Source organism: Homo sapiens, chromosome 2 (genome assembly GCF_000001405.40).
Source record: "Homo sapiens chromosome 2, GRCh38.p14 Primary Assembly".
Classification (NCBI taxonomy): Eukaryota; Metazoa; Chordata; class Mammalia; order Primates; family Hominidae; genus Homo; species Homo sapiens.
The window spans coordinates 174,573,406-174,589,348 of NC_000002.12; the positions used below are offsets into that span (position 1 = coordinate 174,573,406).

Here is a 15,943-nt window from a genome sequence, read left to right on the forward strand (position 1 = left end):
CTGTAGTTTACATTCTTGTGGGGGGAGATAAACAATAAACCAGGAAATAAATACTTTCAGATAATTATATGTACTAAAAAGACACTAAAATAGGCCGATGAGATCAAGAGTGCTTGGAGAGGCCAGGGTACATGGAGTGGCTGGGGACAGCTCTTCTGAGAATGTGACATGTGAGCTGAGGCCTGACAAGAAGGAGTCAGCCACGGAAAGATGAGGAAGACCAGCACTTTGGGCAGGGTTGGCCAGCAGGTGCAGAGGCCCTGAGGTGGGAAAGAGCTTCAAGTTCAAAAACGGGCCCATGTGCCCGGGGCACAGTGAGAATGGGAGAGATCCATGGGAAGTGGAGCCTGAGTGGCCAGCAGGGGTTAGTCACAAGGAGCCCTGCAGGACAGAAGGGGTTCCGATTTTATCTAAGGCACAGGAAGAAGCATTTGGACAGATGTATACAGTGGAGTATCATGAACTTAAGAGAGAACTTTCTTCTTCTTTTTTTTTTTTTTTTTGAGACAGTGCCTCCTCTGTTGCCCAGGCTGGAGTGCAGTGGTGCAATCACGGCTCATTGCAGCTTCAACTTCCTGGGCTCAGGCAATCCTCCCACCTCCGCCTCCTGGGTAGCTGCGACTACAGGCAAGAGCCACCATGCCCACTAACTTTTTGTTTTTTTTTAGTAGAGACAGGATTTTGCCATGTTGCCCAGGCTGTTCTTGAATTTTTGGGCTTCAGCCATCTGCCTGCCTTGACCTGTGAAAGTGCTGGAATTATAGGTGTGAGCCACCATGCCTGGCCCATTTTATTATTTTATTTTTCTTTGTCTTTTGCCTTAATTTCTTCACCTGTTGTTAAAGTACTAAATGTATACATTTATCAGCTGCCTTAAATCCTTTTGGTGAGTTTTAAATAAATTTAAATTCAAATTTAAATGGTGGTCTGGCAAGATAGAACCTCTCATGTGACTGAGTTTCTCTCTAGATTTGGACCATTCAGTGATAAAATAGTAGGCTAACCCTGAGGATTCAGTGATTCCATATTCATGTAAATGTGAGAGTTTCATTCTTTCCCAGGGGACATCTTATAAAAGGTCTAAAAATGAAAATTATTATAACATGATCAACATTACAAAAGCAGTTTTATGGTAAAATTTCTTGAGTTTCTGTAGTAGCTGGGAGAGAGCCTCATGCCCTCTGCAAAGTTTTTTATCTAGGCATTCATGAGCAAGTTCAGTTTTTTTCTACCATCAGGTTCATAGACAATCCTGAAGGACTCATGTCCATGGCTCCCTGCAGAGACTCCTGAGAACCACTGGCACTGAAATACCAAATATCTGTCATGCAAAACACTTTTTCAGATTTAGTGAGATTTGTAATCATATTCCACAAGATGTGCTCCATCGTGTTTGAAAAGCGGCTCACAAGTATTTACTCTACTAGACAGCTGGGCTACCTCACAAAGAAAGCTGAATCTGTCAGGTCACCAGGCAGATTTCCAGGGCCAGCAAGTTCTATTTGCTCCTCCCTTTTCTTCCCACTCCAGCTAACCCTTTAGAAAAGTAAAAAAAAAAAAATGTACAGGTTACCCCCAAAGACACTGGGTGAAAATTTCATAGTTCTGTGTAGCTGTCTGATCCTGGTTAATAATAATAATAAAGCCTAAATTGAGTCTCTTATAAAACAGTGGTAATATTTAAAACAATGTACAATATTTTAATAAGGGCGAAGAGCCTTAGAGGCTATGACCAGCCTCCAAACTGCCAAACTCTGCCTTGTCTTCAGTCACTCAGAGACAGGGAAACTCTCCTTACCATTATCCCTGTTGGCCGTGGATCTCAGCTTCGGCATTCCAGCCTGGAACAATCCTCCCAGACCTGGAGGTCCGCCCCCTCCAAAACTTCCACCGCCTCCGCCACCACCTCCTCCGCCAAATCCGCCGCCTCCACCAAAGCCACCACCACCGCCTCCAGCACCAGCTCCTTTAGGTTCTGTAGAAGAAGAGACACCCGACAGACTATGCCCCCTGGTCTGGCCCAGGTAAACCATAAAACAACAGTACAACAGGGAGCTGGCCGGCTCTCGGCCTCCAGTGGACAACTGGGATTTCTTCATTAAAATGCAGGATTTTAAGAGTTCCCTCAGCTCAGTCAGAACTGCCCGCTCCAGGCAGTCCCAAGCCCAGTGGTGGAAGAAACGAAAATAAAGGATGATTTGTCCCCACACTCCCCACTTGACTGGCTGCCACATGGGTCAGTATCTGTTTGTTCCGTATCCTAAGATTTGGCAAATAGAAGGATCTTCAGGCTGGGTGCAGTGGCTCACACATGTAATCTCAGCACTTTGGGAGGCTGAGGTGGGAGGATCGCTTGAGCCAGGGAGGTCAAGACTGCAGGGAGCCAAGACTGTGCCACTGCACTCCAGCCTGGGTGACAGTGAGACCCTGTCTCAGTAAAAAGGATCTTCAAAGAAAGAGGGTCGCAAGGGAGGAGGAGATGCCATAAAAGGCGAGAAGAAAGGAAAGAGTTAAAAAGAAAAGAAAATAAAATATCTCATAATTTCACAAATATACAAATATCCAGGCTAGGCACAGTGGCTCACACCTATAATACCAGCACTTTGGGAGGCTGAGACTGGAGGATAGCTTAGGCCCCAGAAGTTTGAGACCACCCTGGGCAACAAAGTGAGACCTCGTCTCTACGAAAATAAACAACAACAACAAAATGTAGCCAGGCATGGTGGTGCACACCTGTAGTCCCAGCTACTTAAGAGGCTGAGTGAGAGGATCACTTGAACCCACTGAGGCTGCAGTGAGCTATGATTGCACCACTGCACTCCAGCAAAAAAAAAAAAAAAAAAACACTAAGCAAATATCCACAATTGAGTTATACTTTTTCCCATCAGTATTTTTCATTTTATGTGTTTTTTCTTAAAATTAAGAACAAATTCACTAAGCAGTATTAAGCCTGCTTTTTTCATTTAACACTTTGTTAGCACTTCTTGTGTCATACTCTTTGAAAACATGAGTTTAAAGGATTCTATTGTATTGTAGAACATGAATGTATTACATTAAAATTTATTTAACTACTCATTTGATGGCCCTTTAGATTGCTATTAATTTTTTAATATCATGAAGCCCAATAGTAGGCTTTAGTAATTTAAACATTCTTTGCAATTTGAGAGGGTATAAAGATCTTGTTTTATTTTGAATTTATCTGCAAAAAATTGTGAAAGATTTTGATGGGAGGCAAACAAACAAACAAACAAAAAGATTACTGAGTATTCTGTCTAGTCTTCTGGGTTACTTTCCATTGTCTTTGAGCCACAGTATCTTATCACTCTGAAAGGCATAGAAAACTGATACTAATGCAATGGTATTTGTCCAAAGAAGTGCAAATTAGTTGTGTTTAAGCCATGCTTATACCCTCTTTAAAAAAATTATCTCTTAATTTATGTATGTATGCATGTTTGTATTTATGAGCTTAAACATTATTTAAAGTCCTCTTCCCAAAAAACTATGTTGAGTTTTTGATAAATAGTATATGAAATCTACAAATTAATCTGGGAGAACTGATACTTTTATGATATTTAGACTTTCCATTTGGAGATGTGGTATATTTTCCCATTTATTTATGTCTTCTGGATTTTTTGGCAAAGTTTTTTAGTTTTTATGATATACATTACACATGCTTTTTGTTAGGGTTACTTCAAATGTATTTTTGTTTGCTGAAATTGTGAAAGGGATGTTTTTCCTGTTATATTTTGTAATTGGTTATTTTTGGCACCAGGAAATTGTATTTAATATCTAATAAGCCACTTTGCTATGTTTTCTAAATAAAATTTACTAAAAATGTATTATCTTGCATTTTCTAGTATGCACATGGTCTTCAAATAATGACAGTTTAAAGCCTCCTCTTCTCTAAGAGTTGTATGTCTTATTTCTGTTTTATATAAGTAATTACTTTGATGGGTAAATTTCCATAACAATGTAAATTATTAACGTTTCTAAAGGCAATCATGTTCTGATATTAATGAGAATCCCTCTGATATTTCAAAGTTAATATGAATTATTGGTTTGAAATAGGTTTTTTCCCTTTCTAAATATTCAGTCTGTGGATCCTTCTATTTTAGGTTTACAAGAATTTATTATAGCATGAAATTTTATCAAATGCCTATTCAAGATCTACTGAGGCTTTTTGATGGTCTTTTTTATTTGATATGATGGATAGACTTTCTAACATTAAAAATGGGATAGGCCAGGTGCAACGGCTCACACCTGTAATCCCAACACTTTGGGAGGCCAAGGCGGGTGGATTGCTTGAGCTCAGGAGTTCAGGACCAGTCTGAGCAATATGGTGAGATTCCCATCTCTACAAAAAATGAGCCAAATGTGGTGGTGCATGCCTGTAGTCCCAGCTAGTTGGGAGGCTGAGGTGGGAGGATCCCTTGAGCTTGGGAGGTCAAGGATGCAGTGAGCTGTGTTCATACCATTACTCCAGCCTGGGTGACAAGACAAGACCCTGTCTCCAAAAAAAAAAAAGGGGGATAAACCCTGGTGTTGGTGAATTATTCTTGTAACATCTGATTGATTTAGATTTGTTTTTTGGTATTTTAGTGTTCTCTTATCTATGATGATAAGTGGTCCATAATAGGGTTTCTTAATTATAAACATTTTGGGACAGATAATTCTTTTTTGTGGGTGGCTGTCCTGTCCTGTTCTTTACAGAATGTTTACAGCATCCCTGGCCTCTACCCACTAGATGTCAGTAGCAGCCCTCCCTGTCCCCCAAAGTAGTGACTAAAAATGTCTTCAGACATTGCCACATATCCCCTGGAATGCAAAAATCACCCTCAGTTGAAAACCACTAATGTACAGCTTTCTTTTTTTATGTGCTGCCTTTGTCAAGTTTTGACATTAGGATCATGCCAATTTCATTACAATTATTAGACAGCCTTCCATCTCTTAATATATTGGGGAATGACTTATACAGCATTTGAATTAGCTGTTTCTTAAAATTTGAAAGAATTTGCTAATAAAATAATCTGGCTCCAAAACTTTTTGGAGAGAAAGTAATTTAATAAAGTTTTTATCTTTTCCCTTGCTCATTGAGGTTTCCTGAATAAATATATGCTTTTCTTAGAAAAGTACTTTCTTTAATATCTTAAAACATTTTAGCAGATAACTTTATTACACTACTTTAATTTTAGAAAATATGCTTTGAATCTCTTATTTTATCTGCTTTCTGAGTTCCACTTTTATTCATTTTTATTTCCATTTTCTGGATTAGGTTTATCATAAATTTGTGTTAGTTCTGTATCTTTTCTAGATGTGGAGCTTTCTGAGATGCTTATGGTAGCTCTGCTGTGGAAGAAATAATCTGATAATAACTGACAAGAATTACTTCACCTAACAGGATAAATCATATAAGACTAACAATTTCTAGAAGTGTATGCAAAATTGTTTCCATATAAAATTTAAAAATTTTGCTATTAACATCGCCCTTGTCATTCAAACACTATTCATTGATGAATGACACATTTTGGAATACTGCACTTCACAGGACACGTTTACATGGTACTGAAACTTTAGAGGGACTCCTGCACTATCAGACATCACCCATTACTGTTCTTTTTTTTGTTTTTTTGAGATGGAGTTTCACGCTTGTTGCCCAGGCTGGAGTACAATGGCACGATCTTGGCTCACTGCAACCTCTGCCTCCTGGGTTCAAGCGATTCTCCTGCCTCAGCCTTCCAAATAGCTGGGATTACAGGCATGCGCCACCACACCCGGCTAATTTTGTATTTTTAATAGAGATGGGGTTTCTCCATGCCTCAGGTGATCCCAGCCTCAGGTGATCGACTTGCCTCAGCCTCCCAAAGTGCTGGGATTACAGGTGTGAGCCACTGTGCCTGGCCCATTAGTGTTCTTAACCTGCAACATCTGTCCATCTTTCAGAAAGAGAAGCTAAAGCTGAGGATTAAGCTTTCAGATTATTTTTTCAGTAATTAAACTGTAGGACAGGGCTGAGTTATCACACATAACCATGGTCAACATTTTGACATACAGCCCAGGGAAGTTTCACATGCAAACAGATACAAAACTGTGGATAAACACTGCTGCTTGCAAAGAGCTTGTGACAGCAGTATAGGTGTCCAGTTGAGTGTGTGGACAAGGGCCTGCACTGGACTGTATCTTCCTTCCATCAAGGAAAGCACATTATTAAACATCATGGAAGAGAGAAGGACTAACACTATTTCCATTAAATAAGAGAAGTGGACATTGAAGAATACAATTCTTCAAGGTTTCCACTAGTGGATTCAGGAATAGGTCTAGACTGTCCAGCCTCCTTCAACAGAGCCCTAGGCTCCCTCTTGCAGTGAGGAGAACCACAGGCCTCTGTCCTAGAGGTCAGCTCCTCTGGCCTCATACCAGGGACCATGATTCAGATGGCTATTGGAGGGCTTGGAGGGCTGAGGGATTAGAGGGAATATATTATAACCACATTCGTTTTGTGGGCATTTTGACTTACAAGTCAGACTGTGTCAAGAGTTAAATACCTTAGTTCCTTTTTTTTTTTTGAGACAGAGTCTTGCTCTGTTGCCCAGGCTGGAGTGCAGTGGCACAATCTCAGCTCACCGTAACTTCCACCTCCTTGGTTCAAGTGATTCTTGTGCCTCAGCCTCCCGAGTAGCTGGGACTACAGGCATGTGCCACCACACCTGGCTAATTTTTGTATTTTTAGTAGAGATGGGGTTTTACAATGTTGTCAAGGCTGGTCTTGAACTCCTGGCCTCAAGTGATCCACCCGCCTCAGCCTCTAAAAGTGCTGGAATTACAGGTGCGAGCCACTGCGCCCGGCCATAGTTCCTTTTTGAAAGCAGTGCATTCTCACTCGCAGCACTTTGCCCGGTAACAGAACAACATTCAAAGGCCTTATCTAGGTCTTTCACTTTTCCTTTTTCCTCCCAAACCAGTAGTCCACCTAACTCTGATCCTTCTTCTTCCTTCTCTACTCATTAGGTATTTCTCCCAGAAAGTTCCCTGAAGCACTTCTAATCCTTTACTTTGCAAAGATTCTGCCTCATTATTCACTTGTTGACAAAGATCCATCTGGTGATTTTGGAAGGTCAGTCTATTTCCTGTTCCGTCCAAATGGGATCTGTAGTCTAGGATGAATCTTGGGGACATCTGGCAGGCAAAGGAAGGGTCTAGGAATGTGAGGAGACAGGCTTAAGATCTACTTATTAATTGCCAGTAGAATTCTAGTCATGGATTATTTTTTGTCCTGTTGTAAATGTTAATAAGTAGCTTTGTTCCAGAAAGTACCTCAGACTTAGGTGGGTTGATAACTGAAGTTGTGACCTCATTTTCTTTCTCTCTAAGCTCCTAATAATTGTATCTTACACTTGAATTACACTTTCCAGACAACAAAACATTTTACAGGCATTATCTCATTTGAAGCTCATGACAAACTTGTGAGGTCAATAGAACATGTATTATCATCTCCATTTTAAAATGAAGAAAACAAGGCTTGGAGATGGTACAGGATGGATGTGCCAGGTCTTGAACCCACAGCTTTTGATTCCAAGGCTAGGGCTCTTTCCATATTTTATGCTGCCTCCTCATCTGTGGTGCCAGGAGCAATGGGTTAATCTCCAGAAAGTGTTGTGAATAATGCAGAGAATTGCTGCTGTGTATGTCTTGGACAAAGAATTATTATACTGGCTTCTTGCAGCATTAGAGGGGAACCCAAGCCAAAGCTGCGGCCTACAGGGAGTGATACAGTCCCTTATTTTGCTAGCTTTGCAGCTGTTGTTAACCAAAAAATAAAATAAAATAAAAATTGAGTGGTGAGGGTAGGGTTGATTATTAGGCCATAAACTGTTCCTCTCCATGGTAGATAGCCTTTTTTTACTTACTGTCCAGTATTGGTGCACTTCTGTCATTGGTGACCGTCTTCTTTAGTTTCTTCCCTTTGCTGATATCAGAAAGGAGAGCATTTCTCCCAGCCTGCTCTGTCTTATTCAAGGTAGGCTTCTCTGTATTGGCCTGAAAGGGAGCCATACAAACAAGTAGTCATCTCTTGGGTTAAAATCATGCATTGTAACACTCGGCTGGGAAAGGTTGGGTACGGGAAGCTTGTTGTTAAGGTTCTTGGTGATAGGTTGTAAATTCTCGACAAGTTTTAGACCCCATATCTTTCTTTTTAAGATCCAGACGTTTGGAAGCAGATGCAGCAATAAATTATGTTCATTTTTAAGGGAGGAAGAGTCAGTCCTTGATTAAAGTCTCTGAAAATTCAGACCACAATCTGACTGAAACTAACAGGGCCAGGTTAGGGTGAGATGACTAGACACGAGAAAAGAATTTTAAGTCTGGGAGGATTCTGCAGGACATTACCAGACGTCATTCACTAGAGGGTACCCTGAAGAATAACTTCCTTTTCCCATCTTTTAGAACTACCCCAGTGCAAGGGAAAAACTGTCTCTAGCAAAAAGAGTCAGCTGTATGTTTTTTAAACCCACTAAAGTTCTAGAAAATAATTCCCTCTGTGTATATTGCCAAAGATGCTTTTTTTCTCTTTTTAAGTCAGATTTATTAAGGTGTAATTTACACATAGTGAAATCACCCTTTTTAGTTACAGCTCTATGAGTTTTGACAAACATATACAGTTGTGAAACCACCGTCACAATCAAGATATAGAATATTTTCATTACTTCAAAAGTTCCCTCATGTCCTGTTGGCATGAGGTGTTTCTGATGTTTAATTCTGATGAAAGCTTAGCTCATGGAAATTGTGGAATGGACAAAAATGCTGCTTTAACATGTCTGATTATTTTCTTATATTTCCAGAATTCCTAGGAAAGATCCCTACCTACTATGAAATTGGGATCTTGTTCCTTCAGGGAGTTGGGGACACTAAGAGACCAGCAAATGGACTTAGATGTAGGCACCTGCCTGTGTGCCTGTGTCTATCACACTTGGAAACTGGCTAGGTCTTGTCTGTCTCAGGGAGAGTCTGGCTGCCCCAAACCCACAGGTCCTTTCTAGGCTGGCCCCAGCCCTTCTGACAGGGATATGATTTCAGATTTGCCAGTTAGGGCCACAGGAGGAAAAGCTGGGGAAATGTATGGCTCAATACCTTACCCAGCCTTTAAAAAACAATTTTTTTTTAGAGACAGAGTCTCATTATGTTGCCTAGGCTGGAGTGCTGTGGCTATTCACAGGTGTGATCATCATGCAATACAGCCTCGAACTCTTGGGCTCAAGTGATCCTCCTGCCTCAGCCTCCTGAGTAGTTGGGATTACAGGCACGAGCTACTGCTCCTGGCCTAACTCAGCCTTTTATTAGCAGAGTTAGAGGCAAAGGAAGAACTCAGAAAAACCCTGAAGTAGGCTAACCAGAATTGCAGTGGTAAAGTTGGAAGCATCTTGAAATAACTAAATGATGAAGTATTACTTGCTTATGATAATAATAGTTAACATATACTCTGTGCCAGGCACTGTTTTCAGCACCTTATGTGTATTACTTCATTTAGCCCTTATCAACCCTGTGAGTTATTATTTCCATTTTACAGACAAGGAAACTGAGGTATAGGGAGTTTAAATCATTTGCCCCAGGCACCTAGTTAGTTGAGGAGGAGCTGGGATTCAAACCCTGGCAGTCAAGAGCCTTCCCTACAAGCTGATAGAAGGATAAATGTGGGCTCTAAAATGCCCCTCCCCATCCAGCCCCAACACACCGCTGAAGCATGCTTGTTAAAAGTTTCTCTGCTGTCCTTCCAGAAATGCTCTCTGCATACACAGTTTGCTTTTGCTAATGGGATTCTCCTCTATTGTTCTGCAACTTGTTTGTTTTCAACTTAACATACTTTGGATGTCCTGGAAAAGAGCTCTTAACATTACCTGCTGTCTTCATTTTAAGGATGAAAAAACTCTGAGGCCTAGAGAGGTTAAGTGATGTGTCACACTGGATCTCTTAACAGTTTTGGGTCAGCAACCTTCAGTAGCCTCCTGTTCTGCCTCAAAATTTATTTTGACAGCTGACCTCCCTGGGTGCTAACTTCTCTCATGTTCAGGGCCCTTAATTATGTTGTTTCACAAGGGCAGTGTTCTATGATGGCCACCAACCCACCTTTTCCCTTTCTTCATCTCTATATTCTATTTATCCAAAATCTTGCTTTGAATTAGGTAACAACGGATAGAAATGAGTTGATAAGATAAGCAAGGTTTCCCAAACTTCAAGCATTCTGGTATAAGATTCATGATTTTTGTCATCTTCTCATACCACCTGTGTTATTTATTTAATATTTTTTATTAAGTCAGTTCACTATAGCCCACACTTTTGGGGAAACATGGATAAATGAATCCTGCTATGTAAGCCAGATTGGAGGTTCTCAAACTTACCCATGTGAAGGACCAACTTTTTTTTTGTTTTTTGTTTTTTTGCGACAGAGTCTTGCTCTATCACCCAGGCTGGAGTGCAGTAGTGCAATCACAGCTCACTGCAGCCTTGACCTCCTGGGCTCAAACAATCCTCCCATCTCTGCCTCCAGAGTAGCTGGGACTATAAGCACGCACCGCCATGTCTGGCTGGCTAATTTTTAACATTTTTTTTGTAGATATGGGGGTCTCGCCATGTTGCCCAGGCTGGTCTCGAACTCCTGGGCTCAAGTTATCCTTCCAAAGTGCACGCCTGGCCAAGGACCAGTCTTTTGAAAAATATTTTCATCAGGAACTGACGCTTTTGTAAAATAACAATGAATTATTAGAAAAATGAATTAGTTTTTTAAAAAAGACACACAACATCCAATCTTAGAAACAGAAAACTACTGTCAAATTGCTAGAAATGCTTCTAAATGCTTACTTTCAACTTTTGTCCTCATCACTTTGGGGACTCTTAAAAAGCAGTTGGAAGGCCACACTCTGAGTAACAATAAGCTAATTAATAGGCAGTTCTTCTCACTAGGTTTCAACCTCAGATGAGTTATATAAATGTGTCTCATGGAAACCTGGGGCAAGAAACTTTCTCTCCAAGCCTCAGTTTCCCCATGTGAAAATGGTGAAAATGAAGGAACCATCAGTGTGAGGCTCCTCCTCAGTGAAGGCTTCACAAGCTGGAGAGGGCTTTGTAACAGAGCGTATCTTGGGGCCTTTCCATATGACCAAGTGGAGAGTTGCCAAATTCCTGAAGAGGGCACACTAACTTCCCCAAAGAGGTCTATCAAAGGAGCAGGATGAGCCGGGCACAGTGGCTCACGCCTGTAATCCCAGCACTTTGGGAGGCCGAGGTGGGTGGATCAACTGAGGTTAGGAGTTCAAGACAAGCCTGGCCAACATGGTGAAACCCCGTCCATACTAAAAATACAAAAATTAGCTGGGCATGGTGGTGCTTGCCTTTAGTCCCAGCTACTTGGGAGGCTGAGGCAGGAGAATCACTTGAACGGGAGGTGGAAGTTGCGGTGAGCTGAGATCGTGCCATTGCACTCCAGCCTGGGTGACAGAGCGAGACTCAAAAAAAAAAAAAAGACCAGGATGAATCCACTGAAGAAATTCTTTCAGGAAATAAACATCTAAATGCCTAAATGCAAGTATAGATTTAAAGGAGGATGTGAATGTGTATGGCAGAGGTGGTGGAGGGAGATATTTGTCAAAAACAGATTGGGAAGAAGAGGGGAAAAGGCAGAAAAAAAGAAAGGAGTGAGACCGGAAGACACTTTAATGGAATGCACTGCAGGCAGAGACCTGGGTTTCTAGACCGTCCAGCCCAGAAGTTAAAGGCCAGACATTGAGTTCATCTGAATGAAAACAGTGCACACTGGTCTCAGAACTGATCCTGCAAACCCTATCTTGGGCCAGCACATGTCCCTGCGCAGATGCGGCAGAAAACACCTCATCAGCCACATTCCACCCTTGTACTATCCATCACACGAGACCTTAAACAAACAAAACCCTTCGTGTTGTTTGTATTTGCTGGGTTTCAGGATTTGGCTTACCCTGGGCACTGGGAAAGCCTGTTGTATCACATGTGAGCCAGAATGCAAACACATTTAATACAAACACATGCACGCCAGGTTTTGGCTTCATTTGGCTTGCTTTATGCATAGAAAGTGTTTGGGGAGGAGACACTCACCAGTGCAAACGTCGGGGGCGGCGGGGGTGCTGGAGGGGGAGGGACAGGCATCTTGGGCAGTTATGCGTTCAACAGTCTTGCTGATAAATCTGGAAAAACAAGAATGCGATCATGTATTAGATGTAATCTTAGTAATACTGTCCTAATCTGTCTTCACTTTCCCACCAAAGTGACAGCTCCACCTAGCTCAACTCTTAGAAGAGATGGGCTTACCTTTACACCTCACTGCTAAAACATTACTGTTCTGGAAGGATCCCGGCAGAGGGGCTTCTGACCCGAGGTGCTTGGAGAGAATGGAGGCCACATCCAGTGCCTTACTCGGCTCCATTCCCCCACCCACTACAGTAGGCCATGACCGACCCAGGTGGGCCCAGTTAAGCAGGAAGGTCTCACACAACTGCTAGGATGTATCCTGGCCAAGTTTCACTGAAAACAAATTCACTTCAAGTGGCTTCTCCTCTTCGCTAATTTCCATGACAATCCTTTCATGCTCTCCCACCCCCTCTGGCTTTCTCCTCCCATTCTTCCTGACATTCGCCAAGTCTGTGTGTGCACTGCAGGAATATGAAAATGAATCTACTTCTAGTCCCGCCCTCAAAGTTCCTAGTCCTCCAGGGAGAGGGCATGGAGAATGTCAGGTGGAAAGCAGGGAGCAGCAGCTGAGGCGGGGTGGACGTGTGGGGGGTCAACCTTATGTTTGGAGCACTCAAAGACCAGCCATCCCTATCTCTGTGCTCCTTAGCATTTCCTCAGAGGATCTAAGCGAAAACAGAGCGGGCATGAGAAGTCAGACCTAGGACTCCCAGGCTGTTTACCAGAAATGCATTTCATTTAGAAGAGCCTGTCTTAGCTTTGTTTGGGTAAAAAATTATATATAAATAAAATAAAAAAGAAGAGCCTTTCTGCAGAGTGTGCTTGCTCTGAAAACAAAGGGAAGACCAGATTCCGTAGCTGGGTAGGAAAGTTTAGGGACCCCAGGTGGGTGAGGGGGCAGGGCGGAGAGGGCAGCCTGGCAAACACCAGGGCCAGGAGAGACGATGGCCAGGAAGTGCCTGGTGAGTTACACCAGCCAGGAGCCCTCTCCCCATTTCCTCTAATCCTTGCAGTCCTGTTCCTTCGCCTCACTAGAACCCCTGCTCCCTCTGCCCTGTCTAGGACAACGCCTCACCCACTGTTCTCATCCCTAAGCAATGCCAGCTTCTCCCACCCCATCCTTGCTACACAAACTGTGGTCCTGGATAGGCAGCGTGGGCACCACCCAGAAGCTGTTAGAAATGTCAACTCCCAGTCCCTTTTGCCCCCAGCTGAATTCGTTTCAGCATTTTAACAAGATCCCTGGGTGATTCATACGCACTAAAGCCCTATGTAGAGATCGAGCCTTAAGCCAGCGGGCAGTCTGGGTCACTGGCCACCTGAATAACATTATTTCTACAGGACATGTGTCCCAAATTTTAAACTGCAGAATTATATTTCTTTAAAAAATTTTTTTAAATTTTTTTTTGGAGATGAGGTCTTGCTCTGTCACACAGGCTGGAATGCAGTGGCATAATCATAGCTTACTGTTGCCTCAAATTCCTGGGCCTAAGCAATCCTCCTGCCTCACTCCTGAGTAGCTTAGCTAGGACTGCAGGCATATGCCACCACGCCTGGCTAATTTATTTTTATCTTTTATTTTTGTTGTGATGGGTCTTGCTATGTTGCCCAGGCTAGTTTTGAACTCCTGGCCTCATGCGATCCTCCTGCCTTAGCCTCCCATAGTGCTGGGATTACAGGTGTGAGCCACTGTGTCAGGCTTTTTAAACTCCCAATAGTCCCTTAATTGCAAAAAACAATTTCTTAGAATTTAAAATATTCATTTAGTTCAACCACTACAAGTTAATGTGGAAAACTGAAACCTAAACAAATACTTTCTATTGAGATAATGCTAAATGGCTTGCTTTCTGTGAACAGAAATGGACTGGAGAAGCTAAAAAAGACACTGCTGGACTTGTCACAGCCGCCGGGAAACAAGAATTAAGACAGTTCGGAAGAGTCCCATTCAAAGTGGGCGGTCTAGAAAATGAAAATTTTAAATTCCACAGCAGCAACAGCAGCTCTCATGTATGGAGAATCTGCTGGATCCAGGGCTCTATCCTTGCGTGGTCTCTGACTCCTAAGACAGCGGAAGCCAGCATCGCTGTGCTCATTTGATAGACTCAGAGAAATTAAATCACTCCCTAAAACACCCTGAAGCAATTCATTCAGTCATGTCCTTTTGCTTCCTGCTCTTCTGCTGGATAACACTGCCTCACTCACTCACTGCCCTTTTAATGGTCTGATAAACACTTTCAGGCAGGCGAATTAGTGCCACAGCTCACCTGTTAACTAGGCTGGAATCTGTTTTCAGTAAGAGACTGTCTCAGGCAAGGATTCTTTTAAAGTCTGTTTCTTAAATTGCTCTTTCTGGCATGACATCAATTAGTCACCCATAGGGCCACATGGGCATTGTGAGCAGGACTGGGTGCCTGTGTTAGGGGGTCCTCCATCAAGGGGCATCTCCAGCGGCACATTCAGAGGCCTTGGAGTCAGACGTCTCCTAGGACCAGCAGGAACGAAAGGGATCTGATTCAGGCCTGACTACTGCGAAAGATGCTGGAGCCAAATCAATGGTATGATCAGAGTTGGGAAAGGCTTACCAAGGAAGGGGGATAGCCTGGTCTGCCCGGTGGGCCCAAGAGATGGGCTGTGGGAACAGTGCATCCACGTGCTTGGTTGATGAAAAATCCCTCAAGACTATTTTGTCTGACTCCACGTTCACCGATTAACTTTCTGTCATTCTGTGATCCTAATATCTAGGAAAGGGTGGATATTCTGGTCAACTAACAGGAACCTCTTATGGGTATGGTTGTCATGAGTTCGGCTCTCGTAACAGAGATCAAATTGAACTTCTGTCCTGCACAGCTTAGGGGGCAGACTGTGGAATGGGGACCCTTTCAGGGGCTGCCACCCTGAAAGGCCTCCTTAATTATTTTACAATTCTCTGTTGCTGCTGTTTTAGTACTGTCTGTGCACTAACTGACTTGTATATTAACTTCTGGATGACAGCTCCAGGGAGGGCGTGTTAACTTCATGGTCCAGAGGGCTAGTGTGGGAGAAATGGCAACAGTCATGGCTGGGGCCAGAGCCAAGGCCAGATTGCAGAAATTAGCAGGCAAAAACAAGGTTCAGGGAGCAAGATGCTATTAAAGGGTCTGAGGTATTGAAAGAAGTGCTGCCTTTCCTTCCTGGCCACTTCAGATGGACAGTGGGGAGAGGGTCTACGGGTGAGGGCTCTCACTTTTTAGAGGGTGATGCAGAACTAAGTGCTCTTTCCTCTCTTCCTCTGCGAACTTGTTTGCATGGCTTGCTTTCCCTGGCCCCATCTCTCACTCCCCTCCAGATTAACTGTCCCTTTCCAATCTCAATGGTAACACAGATGAGGGAGGCTGCCATGTCCTCTCTCCTCCCTTCTAGCTGAACAACTGCTGGGCACGGTCTGGACTTCTCCAGGCTGGGGCCTCAAGGGAAGTGTGTGAGAAACCCCAGACTCCAATACTGCCACCTCACTCAGCCCCTGGATCAAAGACCAAGCTCGTGTGCCCCAACACTGGGCCCACCGGCCACACCAGGCCCACTTCTTGGCTGTCTTTCCACCAGCCTATGGACTCCATGGGGTCTTGCCAATACCTGGCACAAAGTAGGGTTCTTACTAAATATATATGCAGTGAAAGAACTGTGTATCACACAAACAAGCCGAGTGCTTGCCACTTGAAGGGCTCCCAGCATCACCCCACCGCACTGTGAGATC

At 43.1% G+C, this 15,943-nt stretch overlaps 1 protein-coding gene and 1 long non-coding RNA gene across 20 annotated transcripts in view, besides 1 other annotated feature; one reads left to right on the plus strand and one right to left on the minus strand.

Annotated features, from left to right (window-relative positions):
• Positions 1–15,943, minus strand: part of WIPF1 (WAS/WASL interacting protein family member 1) — a 123,340-nt gene that overhangs the window by 13,832 nt on the left and 93,565 nt on the right. For 18 of the 19 annotated variants that reach the window (NM_001375835.1, XM_047445756.1, XM_047445755.1 and 15 more), the window contains 3 exon segments: positions 12,118–12,206; positions 7,905–8,034; positions 1,799–1,975 (listed from right to left, as the gene is read on the minus strand). In NM_001375835.1, coding sequence (NP_001362764.1) covers positions 1,799–1,975; positions 7,905–8,034; positions 12,118–12,168 — 358 coding nt within the window. In that variant the 5' untranslated portion in view covers positions 12,169–12,206. 19 annotated transcript variants of the gene reach the window in all.
• On the plus strand, positions 1,822–14,321 carry WIPF1-AS1 (WIPF1 and CHRNA1 antisense RNA 1). Its single transcript, NR_199010.1, has 2 exons — positions 1,822–2,024; positions 14,068–14,321. It is a non-coding gene; the product is annotated as a WIPF1 and CHRNA1 antisense RNA 1 (long non-coding RNA).
• Positions 4,670–4,779: a silencer, noted in NCBI's record as "silent region_12127". NCBI's record gives its function as "represses an Ori minimal core promoter by ATAC-STARR-seq in GM12878 lymphoblastoid cells {active_cell/tissue: GM12878}" and the evidence as "EXISTENCE:reporter gene assay evidence [ECO:0000049][PMID:35858748]".